The sequence below is a fragment of the Homo sapiens genome, chromosome X (genome assembly GCF_000001405.40).
Source record: "Homo sapiens chromosome X, GRCh38.p14 Primary Assembly".
Classification (NCBI taxonomy): Eukaryota; Metazoa; Chordata; class Mammalia; order Primates; family Hominidae; genus Homo; species Homo sapiens.
The window spans coordinates 97988120-98003151 of NC_000023.11; positions in this window are offsets into that span (position 1 = coordinate 97988120).

Consider the following 15032-nt stretch of genomic DNA (forward strand, 5'->3'; position numbering starts at 1 on the left):
GAAAATAGGGGCTACTCCTTTAGCTTAGATCTCATAATGAAAAGGCACAGGTTGCGGAACTAGAGCTGACTCACAGTCACTGATGGGACTATGAGGGAGAAAAAATATTGGTTGTGGTTAAGCCAGTGAGATTATTTTTAACCTTAGTATAACTGCAAACAAGCTGACTGACACAGCCTCATATCTTCATTTGCTGTAATATTCCACTCCCTGAATGTTCATCCTACATTTTAATTCTTGTTTTGCTCTTCCTTCTTACATCTTGTTCCTCTTAGACTATGGCTTTTAAACTGTTACTTGTTTAACTTTACGTTTTCCTAAGTTTGGAATACTTAGTACTGTTGGGACACAGGCACATAATAGATGATTTATAATGAGAACGTTAATCTCTTTTCAATGCTCATTCAGTTCTTCTGATTACATTAATGAGAAATTCTTGGTTTGGTGCTGGTTTGTCATTAATAACTCTATAACAGTTGCCAATACTTCTTTGAAAAAAGACAAAAGTGGTCTTCAAGCTAAGAGAATAGGACTAACAATAGTATCTAGCTGGAACTTAATAATATTGTTTAATCCACATTGTATTTATTGTATGGTCACCCTTTGTTAATAACAAGTGTTATCGATCTGCCAGTTACAATATAGCTCCCTTTTAAAATTAGTACATTTATTTAAGTAATGAAATGAGCTGATTTAGATAAAGTTTCAAGTGATGAAATTTGGAAGACTCTGACCCATCTTAAGGCCTCACCTTCTTTAGCAATGGAAATGAACCTGTCTCAATCTGTACGTCTTATAGGGTTTGCTTACTTCCATGTCCACTTCAGGCCCGGCTCTTAGATTTACCCCTTTGACCTCCTGCCCAGTACAAGTTTCTGGGCCTGAAACCTGAAAATGTAACTTCTCTTTCTAATTTTTAAATTTCACTGAAAAGACAAATTCATTGCATCTTGTATGCATCTTCCTGTAGACTTAAATAGTTTCAAAGAACATACTGCTCTAATTTTGTTTCTGCTTCTAGTACGTACACAGCAACTAAACACCACCAGGACCGTTTTTACTGTGACCTCTTCTCAGCTTCAGTAAACAGTCCACTACTCAAAGCTGAGTCTTGATCCCAAGAGTAAAAGGGATCCATTGCTTCTAGTAATAGCATTTCCTTTCCCCTTATTAATGCCCCCAATAATCTTAAGGCTTTAGGGAATCAACTGCTACACAACAGCTAACTTGATTGAGCTATTTACTATAACTCATGGTTGTTTTCCTCAGAGACAGCTTCAAATATAGAATCCTATTAATGTTTATCAGAAAGCTGTTTTTCCTATAATATGTTTTTTTCTTATTTAATATAAACATTTTTGTTGTAGCATGTTGCTCAGTTTCCCAAGACAATTAAGTTTGTTTGAAATGAATCTGTGTTGTGCCCCGCCCCTTACAAAGTAATAAAATAAAGATTCCCTTTGTGCTAGTTAATGTGCTGAGCCACTGTCAGGGGCTGACACAGCCTCAGGAGTGGGCATTATGAGAAGTGCTTGACCAAAGGCTACTGAAGAGCTTGGAAACAGGCAGCAACCAGTTAGATGCAGAAAGCCTGAAAGTGAGGTTGCACTGAAGTCTTGCTCTTTCTATTGCTACTAATAGTATCATCAGAGTTGCCTCCATTTGATGAGATTGCTCCACAGACACCATAAGAAAGAGCCAAAGAATAGCTTTTGTATTACTAGCACTCTCCAGCTGCCAGCAGCAACTACAGCTTAACAACCCTATTGCCCTATACTTGTGTGACATGGACAGCAAAAGTGTGTACATGACATGCTCTGGAGCTCTGGTGAATACTATTGCTTTTCTCATCCAGATTTGCCTCTAGTCAATTAATTAAGCACCTTGTGCTTGTGCTTTCCTAGTTTAGCACTTACATGTTTAACTTTTTCAAAATACTTTACTCACAAATAATAATAATAATAATGCTACAATTTCTTGAGCACCAACTATGCTCCCAGGCATTTTACATATTCATTCAGTCAATAATTACTGAGTCATTACCATGCATTATGCATTTTCCTGATCATTGGAGTGACATTATTAAATGATATAAACAAGATATTTGCTCTTCTGGAAATAAGAACCTACTAGGGGAGATAAAGAGTAAACACACAATAATAATCAACAAACTTGATACATTGTATAGATAATATAAAGTTAGTGCATTAGTGTGTTCTCATGCTGCTATAAAGAACTGCCCAAGATGGGGTAATTTATAAAGGAAAGAGGTTTAATTGACTCACAGTTCCACATGACTGGGGAGACCTCAAGAAACTTACAATCATGGTGGAAGGGGAAGCAAACATGTCCTTCTTCACATGGTGGCAGGAAGGAGAAGAATGAGAACTGAGTGAAGGGGAAAACCTCTTATAAAACCACCACTCCCATGATTCAATTACCTCCCACTGGGTCCCTCTCATGACATGTGGGATTATGGGAACTACAATTCAAGATGAGATTTGGGTGGAGACACAGACAAACCATATCATTCAGTCCCTGGCCCCTCCCAAATCTCATATCCTCACATTTCAAAACACAGTCATGCCTTTCCAACAGTCCCTCAAAATCTTAGCTAATTCCAGCATCAACCCAAAAGTTCAAGTCCAAAGTCTTATCTAAGACAAGGCAAGTCCCTTCCACCTATAAGCATTTAAAATCAAAAGCAAATAACTTACTTCCTAGATACAATGGGGGTACAGGTATTGGGTAAATACACCCATTCCAAGTGGAAGGAATTGGCCAAAACGAAGGGGCTACAGACCCCATGCGAGTCCAAAATCCAGCAGGGCAGTCAAATCTTAAAGCTCCAAAATGATCTCCTTTGACTCCGTGTCTCACATCCAGGTCATGCTGATGTAAGAGGTGGATTTCCATAGCCTTGGGCAACTCTGCCCCTGTGGCTTTGCAGGGTACAGCCTCCCTCCCAGCTGCTTTCATGGACTGGTATTGAGTGTCTGTGGCTTTTCCAGGTGTATGGTGTAAGCTGTTGGTAGATCCAGCATTCTGGGGTCTGGAGGACTGTGGCCCTCTTCTCACAGCTTCACTAGGCAATACCCCAGTGGGGATTCTGTGTGGGGGCTCTGACCCCACATTTTCTTTCTGCACTGCCCTAGCAGAGGTTCTCCATGAGTGTTCCACCACTGCAGCAAACTTCTGCCTGGACATATGGGTGTTTCCATATATCCACTGAAATCTAGGTGGCGGCTCCCAAACCTAAATTCTTGACTTCTATGCACCCGCAGGCCCAACACCATGTGGAAGCTGCCAACTCTTGGGGCTTGCACCCTCTGAAGCAATGGTCTGAGCTGTATGTTTGCCCCTTTTAGCCACAACTGGGATGGAGTGCACCAAGTCTTGAGACTGCACAATGCAGCAAGGTGCTGGTCCTGGCCCAGGAAACCATTTTCTCCTCTTAGGTCTCCTGGCTTGTAATGGGAGGGGCTGCTGTGAAGACCTCTGACATGCCCTGGATACATTTTCCCCATTTTCTTGGTGATTAACATTTGGCTCCTCACTACTTAGGCAAATTTCCGCAGCAGGCTTGAATTTCTCCTCAGAAAATGGGTTTTTCTTTTCTTTTGCATCATTGGGCTGCAAATTTTCCAAACTTTTGTGCTCTGCTTCCCTTTTAAACATAAGTTCCCATTCCAAACCATATCTTTGTGTATACATAAAACTGAATGCTTTTAACAGCACCTAAGTTACATCTTGAATACTTTGCTACTTGGAAATTTCTTCTGCCAGATACCCTAAGTCATCTCTCTCAAGTTCAAAGTTCCACAGATCTCTAGGGCAGAAGCAAAATGCCTCCAGTCGCTTTGCTAAAATATAGCAAGAGTCACCTTTATTCCACTTCCCAACAAGTTCCCCATCTCCATCTGAGACCACCTCAGCTTGGACTTCATTGTCCGTATCACTATCAGCATTTTGGTCAAAACCATTTAACAAGTCTCTAGGAAATTCCAAACTTTCCCACATGTTCCTGTCTTCCAAGCCCTCCAACTCTCTAGGAAGTTCCAAACTTTTCCGACATTTTCCAGTCTTCTTCTGAGGCCTCCAAACTGTCCCAACCTCTGCCTTTTACCCTGTTCCAGTCTCTTCAATATTTTTGGGTATCCCGACAGCAGTGCCCTGCTCTCTGTGGTAGCAATTTACTGTATTGGTCTGTTCTCACACTGCTATAAAGAATTGCCTGAGACTGGGTAATTTATAAAGGAAAGAGATTTAATTAACCAACAGTTCTGCATAACTGGGGAGGCCTCAGGAAACTTACAATCATGGCAGGAGGGGAAGCAAACATGCCCTTCTTCACATGATGGCAGGAGGGAGAAGAATGAGAACTGAGTGTAGGGGGAAGCCCCTTACAAAACCGTCACCCCCAGGATTCAGTTACCTCCCACTGGGTCCTTCCCACAGCTTGTAGGGATTATGGCAACTACAATTCAAGATGAGATTTGGGTGGGGACACAGCCAAACCATATCAGTAAGAAATAGGAAAATGCAAAATGTGATTGTAGACAATGTTAATTTATAGAGGGTAGTCAGGGAAGGCCTCTCTGATAAGGTGACATTTGAGCAAAGACCTTAAGTGAGAGTTCTCCCTCTAACTTTCAAACTTCATTCCCTATCACTTTTCTCTCACCATATCCCAGAACAATGTGTTTTAGAAATACTGACCTCCTTGCTGTTCCTTGAGTACAACCTTGCTGTCTCCTCTGCCTAGAATGTTCTCCCCTATTTATTTACATAGTTCCTTCACTCACCCCGTTCAGAAACGTGAAATCAATCAAAATAGGTTGCTGGTTTATTGTGGAAATTGAGGAAGTGGGAACAATAAAGGACAACACCCACATTTTGGGCTGGAGCAACTGGGTATAAATGTAAAGAACACAGAATGGGAAGGATCTGGTTTTATTAGAAAAATAATAAACTCATCATGAACAGTCAAATACACATGTCTGACAGGAAAGAGATCTGGGTTGATAATATATACTATTTGGTTTTTGAATAAATAAACAAGTTATAAATTTTGGAGTCAACAGCTCACAGGTGGTAATGGTCAACTATAAGAGTGAGTGAGATCACACAGGGAGAGTATGCATAATGACAAGAGAAGAGGGCTTAGTCCAGAGTAATGAAAAACAGCAACCTTTAATGCCTGGATAGGGGAGGATCAGCTCTTGAAGAATACTGGGAAAGAATAACCTTAGGGAGGTAAATAGAAATTAAGGATAACACAGAGACTTAGAAGCCAGGGGATAGCGATCTTTCAATTAGGGGATGGAGAAGAGTGAGAAATGCTACCAAGAAGTCAAACAAGGTGAGTACTGGGAATCCACTGGACTTATCAATGAAGAAATAGATGATAAATGAAGAGCAGTTTTAATTTGGCGATAGCTATGGAAGACAGATTGCTGTGGGATGAAAGGTGAGTGAGAGCACAGGGATTAGAAAAATGTGAATTTAGGCAACTCCTTAAAGATATTTGGATATAAAGTGGTAGTGAGAGATAAAACTTTATCTCATTTGATTCTCATAACCTGGTAATTCAGACATTTATATTTTTCTCCACTGTATAGTTGAGTCTCAGAGTGGTTAAAAACTTTTCCAAGATCAAATATTTAGTAAACGTTAGGAGCAAAATGTTAAGCTGAGTCTTCTCTCTCCAAAGTTTCTTCTTCTCTAGTCCCTATCCTCAGTTACTTGACCTGCTAGAATCAAGCAGAGCAGGAAAGTTCCATTCTTACCCACAAACTGAATAAAGGAGCCCAGTAGGGGATTAACACCCAAGTTAATAAGTTGCAAACTTTTTCAGGAAGAAAGCACAAAAGTGATTATAACAAAGCTAACAACTTATATTCTTTGGTTCTTCCATTTGATTAATAGATATGTAGTAAATGGACCGCAGCAATAAAACAGAAAGTGCTACCTCCTTTCTGGAGTTGCTGTAAATATTCCTCAGATGTCAAAAAAAGTAGAAAAATTCTTGTTACAATTAATTTTGGTAATGGAATGTATATAAAGATACATACCTCAACTTGGCTTTTTGGTCAGCACCAAGATGCACTATTTCTTGCGGTAAATATCGATCTAAGATAAGATCAATATTTACCTCACAGTTCAATATGTTGTGTGACTGTCTTCAACACAAGTCAATATCTGCGTAATGTCTGCAACCTGCTTCTTATCAGTGCTTTTGAAACTTCCCTATAGCCCTCAGGATGTTTGGAAATTTGAAGTGTTCTGGATTCTTGTCGGCTCTTTACAGTCAATCTATACACAGTAGAGCTATATAATATGACTCTTTCTAGCATAGTTGTGATTGCTAGACAAACAGTTCCTGAAACTCCTAGAAGCCAGACCTTCTAGGATGTAGAATAAGCCTAGATGTGCCCAATCCTGGACTCTATTCTATTGAGATCCCTTCATATAGTACACAATATGAATTACTAAATGGCAAATTGCCATGCGTAAAACCCACAACTTTGACTGAGGTCATGATTATGTCATTCAAATTACATTAATCTTACCTTTTTATCCTTTGGAACAGACCTGCTAGAATCAAGCAGATCAGGAAAGTTCTATTCTTACCCACAAAATGGAATAGGGGAGCCCAGTAGGGGATTAACACCCAAGGTTAGAATTCACTTCCATTGTATCCAACATTAGTCAAAACATTTTTAAAGTATTATGAAGAGTGAATTTTTAGACTGTGAAAAGAATAGAAAGATACAGGAGAGTACAAAAAAGTATAATAAAGAATTTCAAAGGAGTGGAAAATAAGCTCTGCAAGAAAAGGTTCAAGGCATGAAAAGTGTGATCTTAAAATATCTAAGGGGATTATATGTTGAGACCACTGAGTTTTTCTGTTTGTTAGTAGAAAACTGAGTAGGAGAAAATTGTATTAAATTGAAATAAGGAGTAGTGTTTAGAGAGTGCTTAGACCAGAAATAGATTTGAGAGTTTTGGGGCATCAGTATAATAGTTATAATCATGATTTTGGGTAAGATTTAAAAAGTAGTATGAGAGAAGTACAAGAATTAACTGGAGAAACACAAAAAAAATAGGAATTGAGAGGAGGAATTAAAGTCAGTAGGTTCAAAAATGGAGGAAGGAAACAGGACAATGGAATATCATCAAAGGAGGAAGTTTTTATTGAGCACTTAGTGTGTGCCAGGCACTTTTCAAAGTACTTACCATATATTATCTCATTTAATCCTAACAACCGTATGATTTTGGTTCTGTGGTAATAGAATCCCCTCTGTTTTACAGACAATCAAGCTGAGGCTTGGAGAAGTTCACTGACTTTCTCCTGTCACAGCCCTCTGAAATGGAAGTCAGGATTTGATCCAGGCAGACCGGGTCCAGTGCCTACATTTTAGCATCTTTGCACTGCCTCTAAATATAAAGTTTCCAGTGGTAGAAGAGTAGGCAAATGTCACATACTGGAAAGAGGGCCAAGAGGATGAGGACTGATAAAAATATTTGGTGATTGAGAGATGAAAGATAACATTAGAAAGAGCAAGTCTCAGTAGAACAGAAAAGAAAGAAGCTAAGCATTCAGGGAATGTGTTATCAGGGAGTGGAGCAACAAACACAGATTGCCATTGAATGGAAAAGGGAAGATACAATAGTAACGTGAGAAAGTGGCAGGAAAAAGTATACTACTACTTATTTTAAAGACAGAGGAGACTTGAATATGTTTTTGTTTATCTTTGAGTAAATGATAGTATTACCATTAATATACTTTACTTAGAAAACCAAGGTCACATGACATGTGTTCCTTCAACTTGTTTCTCTTCTAAAAATATGTTTGTACCTGTGTGCAATTATGATGAGTCTGCTTTCACAACTCACTTCCTCACTATCCACCAGCCTAGAATCAGAAAGAGAGAAAAAAAGATTATGTGGTTTCTTCACAACTGGGGATAATAAGAGAAGTTTACAAGGACAAAGTCACATTGTCACCGACTTCTGTGACAGAGTTATTGTATTTATGAGCAATTTAAAACTGACACAAGGGCCGGGCGCAGTGGCTCACGCCTGTAATCCCAGCATTTTGGGAGGCTGAGGCAGGTGGATCACGACATCAGGAGTCAGGAGATCGAGACCATTCTAGCTAACACGGTGAAATCCCGTCTCTACTAAAAATACAAAAACTAGCCGGGCATGTTGGCGGGCGCCTGTAGTCCCAGCTACTTGGGAGGCTGAGGCAGGAGAATGGCGTGAATCCGAGAGGCGGAGCTTGCAGTGAGCCGAGATTGTGCCACTGCACTCCAGCCTGGGCAACAGAGCCAGACTCTGACTCAAAAAAAAAAAAAAAAAACAAAAAACCAAAAAAAAGCTAACACATGGTGTAAACTTCACTCTATTGATTCAATCAAGTGGCTATTTTTTTTTTTTTTTATTATTTGATGACTCTATATGCTTACAATTTTATGTATGGGTTTACTGTGGATCTGCCATTATCATCTCTGTATCCGTTGGCAGACCTCATTTCAATTGTAAACTTCCAAACAATATGCATAAGAAATGATGTATTGGAACAACCACATGAACTTTGGCATTAACTCTGCAACCTATTCCCTCTATGACTTGGAAAAGTCACTTAACCTCTTTTTGATCCCATTTCATACTTGTAATATGAGGAAAATAATGCTAACTATTTTGTGGAGATGTGTTGAGGATTAAGTCAGATAGTGTACAGTTCAGATTCTATTAATGGTCCAACTCTTTACCCTTTTCTAAATCCAGGCCCTTTGCCTGGTTACTTTGCATCTTCTTCTACTAAAGATGCAGAGTATTATTTCCCCAACCCTTGACTTTAAGTTTAGCCTTGTAGCTTGCTTCAGTCAATGGCATGCTGTAGGACATAATGTGACAAAAATATGTCAAGCTCTTATTCCATTCAGCTTTCTGTCTTCTTCCTTTACCATCAACTTAAAACAAATATTCTTGCTGGTTCTGGAAGAAGAGACACTGGGGCAGAACAAACCACCTTATCTGGGCCCAGCCTAGATCAGACAACTCCTAGACAACCTCCAGATCCATGAGCAAAGCCAGATTGAGATGAGAAAAACTGCAAGCTGTGCCCAACTTCGATCATCGAATGCCTAACTGACCCACAGACACATGAGAGTAAATGATTGCTATTTTGGGGATGATTTCACAGCATTTTTTTTTTTTTTTTTTTGAGACAAAGTCTCGCTCTGTCACCCAGACTGGAGTGCAGTGGCGTGATCTCGGCTCACTGCAAGCTCCGCCTCCCAGGTTCACGACATTCTCCTGCCTCAGCCTCCCTAGTAGCTGGGACTATAGGTGCCTGCCACCACGCCTGGCTAATTTTTTGTATTTTTAGTAGAGACGGGGTTTCACCGTGTTAGCCAGGATGGTCTCGATCTCCTGACCTCGTGATCCGCCCACCTCGGCCTCCCAAAGTGCTGGGATTACAGGCGTGAGCCACCGCGCCCGGCCACACAGCATATTTTCGTGGTGATAACTATACTTGTCAGGGACTTAGCGCAGTGCTTGGCACATGATTGTTTTTAACAAATTGTCTTTAACAAATCTTAATTGCTTTTTTTTTGGTATGGATAAAATGCAATACATATTTTATACAGTTTACCTATAGTATAAAACATGCAGCTATTAAGAAATATTTGGATGAATGAATGTTTCCATTTGGTGTCATGCAGACATCACTTTTGCAATATGCAGTGAAATAGCAAATCTTTCACAAAGAATTCTCTTAGAGTTTTGCATGTTGATTGCTGTATTCTTCTCATGCAAGTGTAACTTCCTCCCACTAATGCTAATATGAATTATGTGTGTGCACTGAAAGGAAAATATATTCCATGAATATTACACTAATGAATTAATTTAGAAACTCAGACTCATCTATTTATTAACTCCCGACTCATCACCTTATGTATTTTGCATGTTGTAGTAAATGCAGAAAGAAACATTTAGAAATATTCACTTGCTTTTCCATAGGGATCAGCTCAGGGAATAAATCTGAGTTTTATAATGCTGTCTTAATATTACATGCATACTGAGGAAGATTCTTAAAGATTATCTTGACTGCTCATTTTCTGTTATAATTATCTAAACCTGTAAATTTCAATTTATTGTCTTCAAAGTTTCTTTGATTAATGTAATCATATACCTCCACTTCTCAGATGTTTCTTAACATCTTCATTGATATTGTTAACTACTTGTCATATTCTACTAAAATTTATTATTTCTTTGTTGATGTTTAGTGTATTAAATACAAGTAATTGACACCCTTCCTAAAAAGTCTGCATACCGGCCGGGCGCGGTGGCTCACACCTGTAATCCCAGCACTTTGGGAGGCCGAGGCGGGCGGATCACGAGGTCAGAAGATCGAGACCATCCTGGCTAACACGGCGAAACACTGCCTCTACTAAAAATACAAAATATTAGCCAGGCGTGGTGGCGGACACCTGTAGTCCCAGCTACTCAGGAGGCTGAGGCAGGAGAATGGCGTGAACCCGGGAGGCGGAGCTTGCAGTGAGCCGAGATTGTGCCACTGCACTCCAGCCTGGGTGACAGAGTGATACTCTGTCTCGGAAAAAAAAAAAAAAAAGTCTGCATACCTCCTTAATCATCAATAGCTTGTGATATAAATCTTCAGAACATACGTGGCTTTACTAGTAACCAGATTCCATTTGTAATTTTTTTTTTTTTTTTTTTTTTTTTTTTTTTTGAGACAGAGTTTTGCTCTTGTTGCCCAGGCTGGAGTGCAATGGTGGGGTCTCAGCTCACAGCAACCTCCACCTCCTGGGTTCAAGCGATTCTCCTGCCTCAGCCTCCTGAGTAGCTGGGATTATAGGCACGTGCCACCATGCCCGGCTAATTTTTGTATGTTTAGTGGAGACGGGGTTTCATCTTATTGGCCAGGCTGGTCTCCAACTCCTGACCTCAGGTGATCCTCCTGCCTTGGCCTCCCAAAGTGCTGGGTTTACAGGCCTGAGCCACTGCACCTGGCCTCTATTTGGAATTTTGTATTTAGAGGAGATGGAGAGGTAGAGGTTGATGGTAGGTTATGTAGCAAGGGACAGGATAATTGCCTGGTCTTTATAAATTGTTATCTGCACAAAACCATCACATACTACTTAAATCTGTAACTTGATTTTTGCACCCATAATTAAAGGCGTGTTACCATGGAATAAATCCTTTCTAAAGGCTTTTAACGCATATATGGTACTATATGTAATATGTGAAAGGAGGTAAAGTTTGAGCAAACTAGGGAAAATTTTTCACCTGTTTGAGGACAATTTAGAAATAATTCAAAGATGTTAAATAGACATTAGATGTGGGAGACTAGATGTTGGAGAAAAAAAAAATTAGAAGCTACAAACTTATATCCACCTGCTGTATGCTAACACTCAAGCATTTATATTTCTATTTATTCAAATTACATGTAAGTTTAGTTTAATTCAGATGGTGTTTATGCATCAGATCCACTTCTCTTCCATCAACTGCAAGCCTTTGCTCCATCAATTATTCCCTCTTACATCTGTATTCTCGAACTCTTTGGGTCCTTCCACTAGAGGTATAACTATGATCAAATATTCCCCTTTCAAAATACCTTCCTTTGAGCCTATTGACATTGGTTTGTCACTCTAGAGACTTCTCTCCTTTACTTCACATGCAGGAGTTTATGAAGAATATTTTTCACAGCTGTCTTTCACTTCATCATCTTCAATTTAACCCACATGGATCTAGCTTCCATTCCCATCATATTGCTGAAACATCTCTGAAAGAAGTAATTAATGACTTCTAAATCGGCAATTTCAATTTCAATCCCTTTCTCACTTGACCATTTTACAATATTGCTGGACATGCACTACATCTTGAAAATCTTTCACTGGTTTCTGTGATTACCCTTTCTTAGTTCTCTTTTGAGTATTTTTTTTTGGAGACGGAGTCTTGCTGTGTCCCCCAGGCTGGAGTGCAATGGTATGATATTGGTTCACTGCAAGCTCCGCCTCCTGGGTTCACGACATTCTCCTGCCTCAGCCTCCCAAGTAGCTGGGATTACAGGCACTCGCCACCACGCCCGGCTAATTTTTTTGTATTTTTAGTAGAGACGGGGTTTCACCATGTTAGCCAGGATGGTCTCGATCTCCTGACCTCATGATCCGCCTGCCTCGGCCTTCCAAAGTGCTGGGATTACAGGCGTGAGCCACCACACCCCGCCTTGAGTATTTCTTTTTGTTCTCCTTTGTTGGCTTTTCTCCCTTCAATGCTCCTTTAATATTGGTACTTTCCAGTACTAAAATATTTAACTCTTTTTTTTTTCACTCTACACATTGTTCTCGTTTTTGACTATTTTTTCTTGGCTTCAACTATCATCTGTATTCTAACAACTGGCAATAGCTTAAGTCCAGATTTCTATTTTAAATTCACTAGCAGAAATTTTCTCTTGGACATCTTATAGCCAACTCAGAGAAATTTACTAAAAAAGGATCTTACTTTTTCCAAAGCATTTTCTTCTCCCTATGCTTCCTATCTTGGTAAATGGCAGCATTAATCATTCATTTATCCAAGACAGAAACCTGATAGACTCCTTCTACTCTTCCATTTGCATTATCATAAACATTTCAATTACTATAGATTTATATATATGTTTCTCAAATCTCTTCTTACACTCATCATTTTAATTTGTGTTTTTATGACCTCTATCCCACAAAATTTCAGTAGTTTCCTCATTTGTTTTAAAACTTTTGGATTTCAGATACAAGCACATTAATTAGTGAGTTTATCAAGGTCACCTGGAAAAAGTCAAGATTGAGAAATATTTCTATTTCTGTAAAATGATAAGAAATTTTGCAAATAAAATTAAAAATGTCATTTAACATAGCAAGAAAAATCATCAAGTACTTAGAATTAAATCTAATGAAAGATATGACAAACCATTATACCTGAAACAACAAAACATTTCTGAGAGACATTGAAAAAGATTTAAATAAACAGAAAAACATAGCATGGTTATGGATTGATCGGAGGACACAATAGTGTTATGATGTCGATTCGTCCAAAATTGATCTATAAAGTAAAGGCATTCTCAGTCAAATCACTGCAGTGTGTGTGAGTGTATGTGTGTGTGTATAAACTGACAAGCTGATTATAAGATTTGAATTGAAATGCAAAAGTATTGAATAGTCAATACAGTGTTGAAAGAGAGGAAACAAAGTTGGAGGTCTTATGCTCCTGGACTTCAAGACTACTTATAAACCCATAATGGTTAAAGCAGTGTAGTACTGATGAAAGGATTGACAAATAGACCAACAGTACAGAAAAGAGAGTCCAGAAACAGGCCCACATATATAGAGTCACTTGACTTATAACTAAGATTTCACTGTAATTAAGTGGGGGAAAGAATAATTTTATTAAATAAATAATGTCAGAGTAATTGAATTTTTATATGAAAGAAAATGGACCTTGATACCGATGTCAAACTATACACAAAAATAAAATTTAAATGGACCGTGGACCTAAATGTGAAAAATGAAACAATGGGCACTTTTAGATCAGACTATGGCTCTTAGGCCAAATCCAGACTTCTGCCTCTTTTTGTAAATAAAATTTTAACAGAACACAACCAGCCCATTCATTTGTGTATTGTTATGATTGCTTTCATGCTACAATGGCAGAGTTGAGTAGTTATGAAAGAGACTACATGGCCTGCAAAGCCATATGTATTTACTATCCAGTATTTTACAGAAAAAAATTGTCAAACTCTGTTCTAGAAGAAAACAGGAGTATACCTTTATGACTATGGAGTGGTATTTTAAAAATTTTATATAAGGAAAAAACCCATAAAACAAGACCATATAAGATTAACTAAAGAAATAAATTTGACTCCATTAAGTTAAGAACACCTTTTTATCAGGATTGGTGTCTAGACTGTAACAAAAACTCTTAGGTATCATTAAGAAAAAAAGACAAGTTATCCAATTTAAAAATGAACAAAGGATTTGAATGCATACTTCTCCACAGAAGGATACACAAGTGGCTGATAATCATATGTAAAGATGCTCAATATCGTTAGTCAAGAACATAAACAAAACCACAACGTGATATCCATTTGATATCCATTAGGATGGCTCTAATTAAAAAGACAGAAAATAACAAGTGTAGGCAAATATGTGGAGAAATTAGACTCTTAATACACCGCCGGTAGGAATGTAAACTGGTCTGTGCATTCTCTTTGGAAAACAACTTGGCTGTTCCTCAAAAAGTTAAACAAATAGTTACCACATGATCCAGCAATTTCACTTCTAGATATAAATCCAAGAAAATAGAAAAATATGCCCACAGAAAAACTCATACATGAATGTTTATAATAGCATTATTCATAATAGTGAAAAAGCAGAAACCACGCAAATATCCACCAGTTGATGGATGGATAACCAAAATGTGGTATATTCATACAATGGAATACTATTTAGCCAGAAAAAGAAAAGAAGTACTGTAGATGCTACAACATGGATGAAACTTGAAAATATTATGCTAACTTAAAGAAGCCAGATGCAAAAGGCAGCATATTGTATGATTCCATTTATATGAAATGTCCAGAATAGTCAAATCCATAGAGACCCAAAGTAGTAGATTAATGGTTGCCAGGAGTTGGAGTCCCAGGAGAATGGGGAATGACTGCTAATGAGCATGGGGTTTCTTTTTTGCAGGAGGAAAATATTCTGGAATTATGTAGTGTTGATAGTTGTATAACTTTATGAATATTTTAAAAATCACTCAATTGCATACTTTAAAAGGATGAAAATTATAGCATGTGAATTATAGCCCATAAAAGTTACCAAAACTATGTAATCATGGTTACATGTAAGAAATTGAAGTTATACTAATCCATGGATCAGCTAAATAGATAAAATAAAGTAAAAAACAGTAATTTTGTTTAGATGACCCAACATACACGTACAAAAAACCCGCAATGAAATATCACC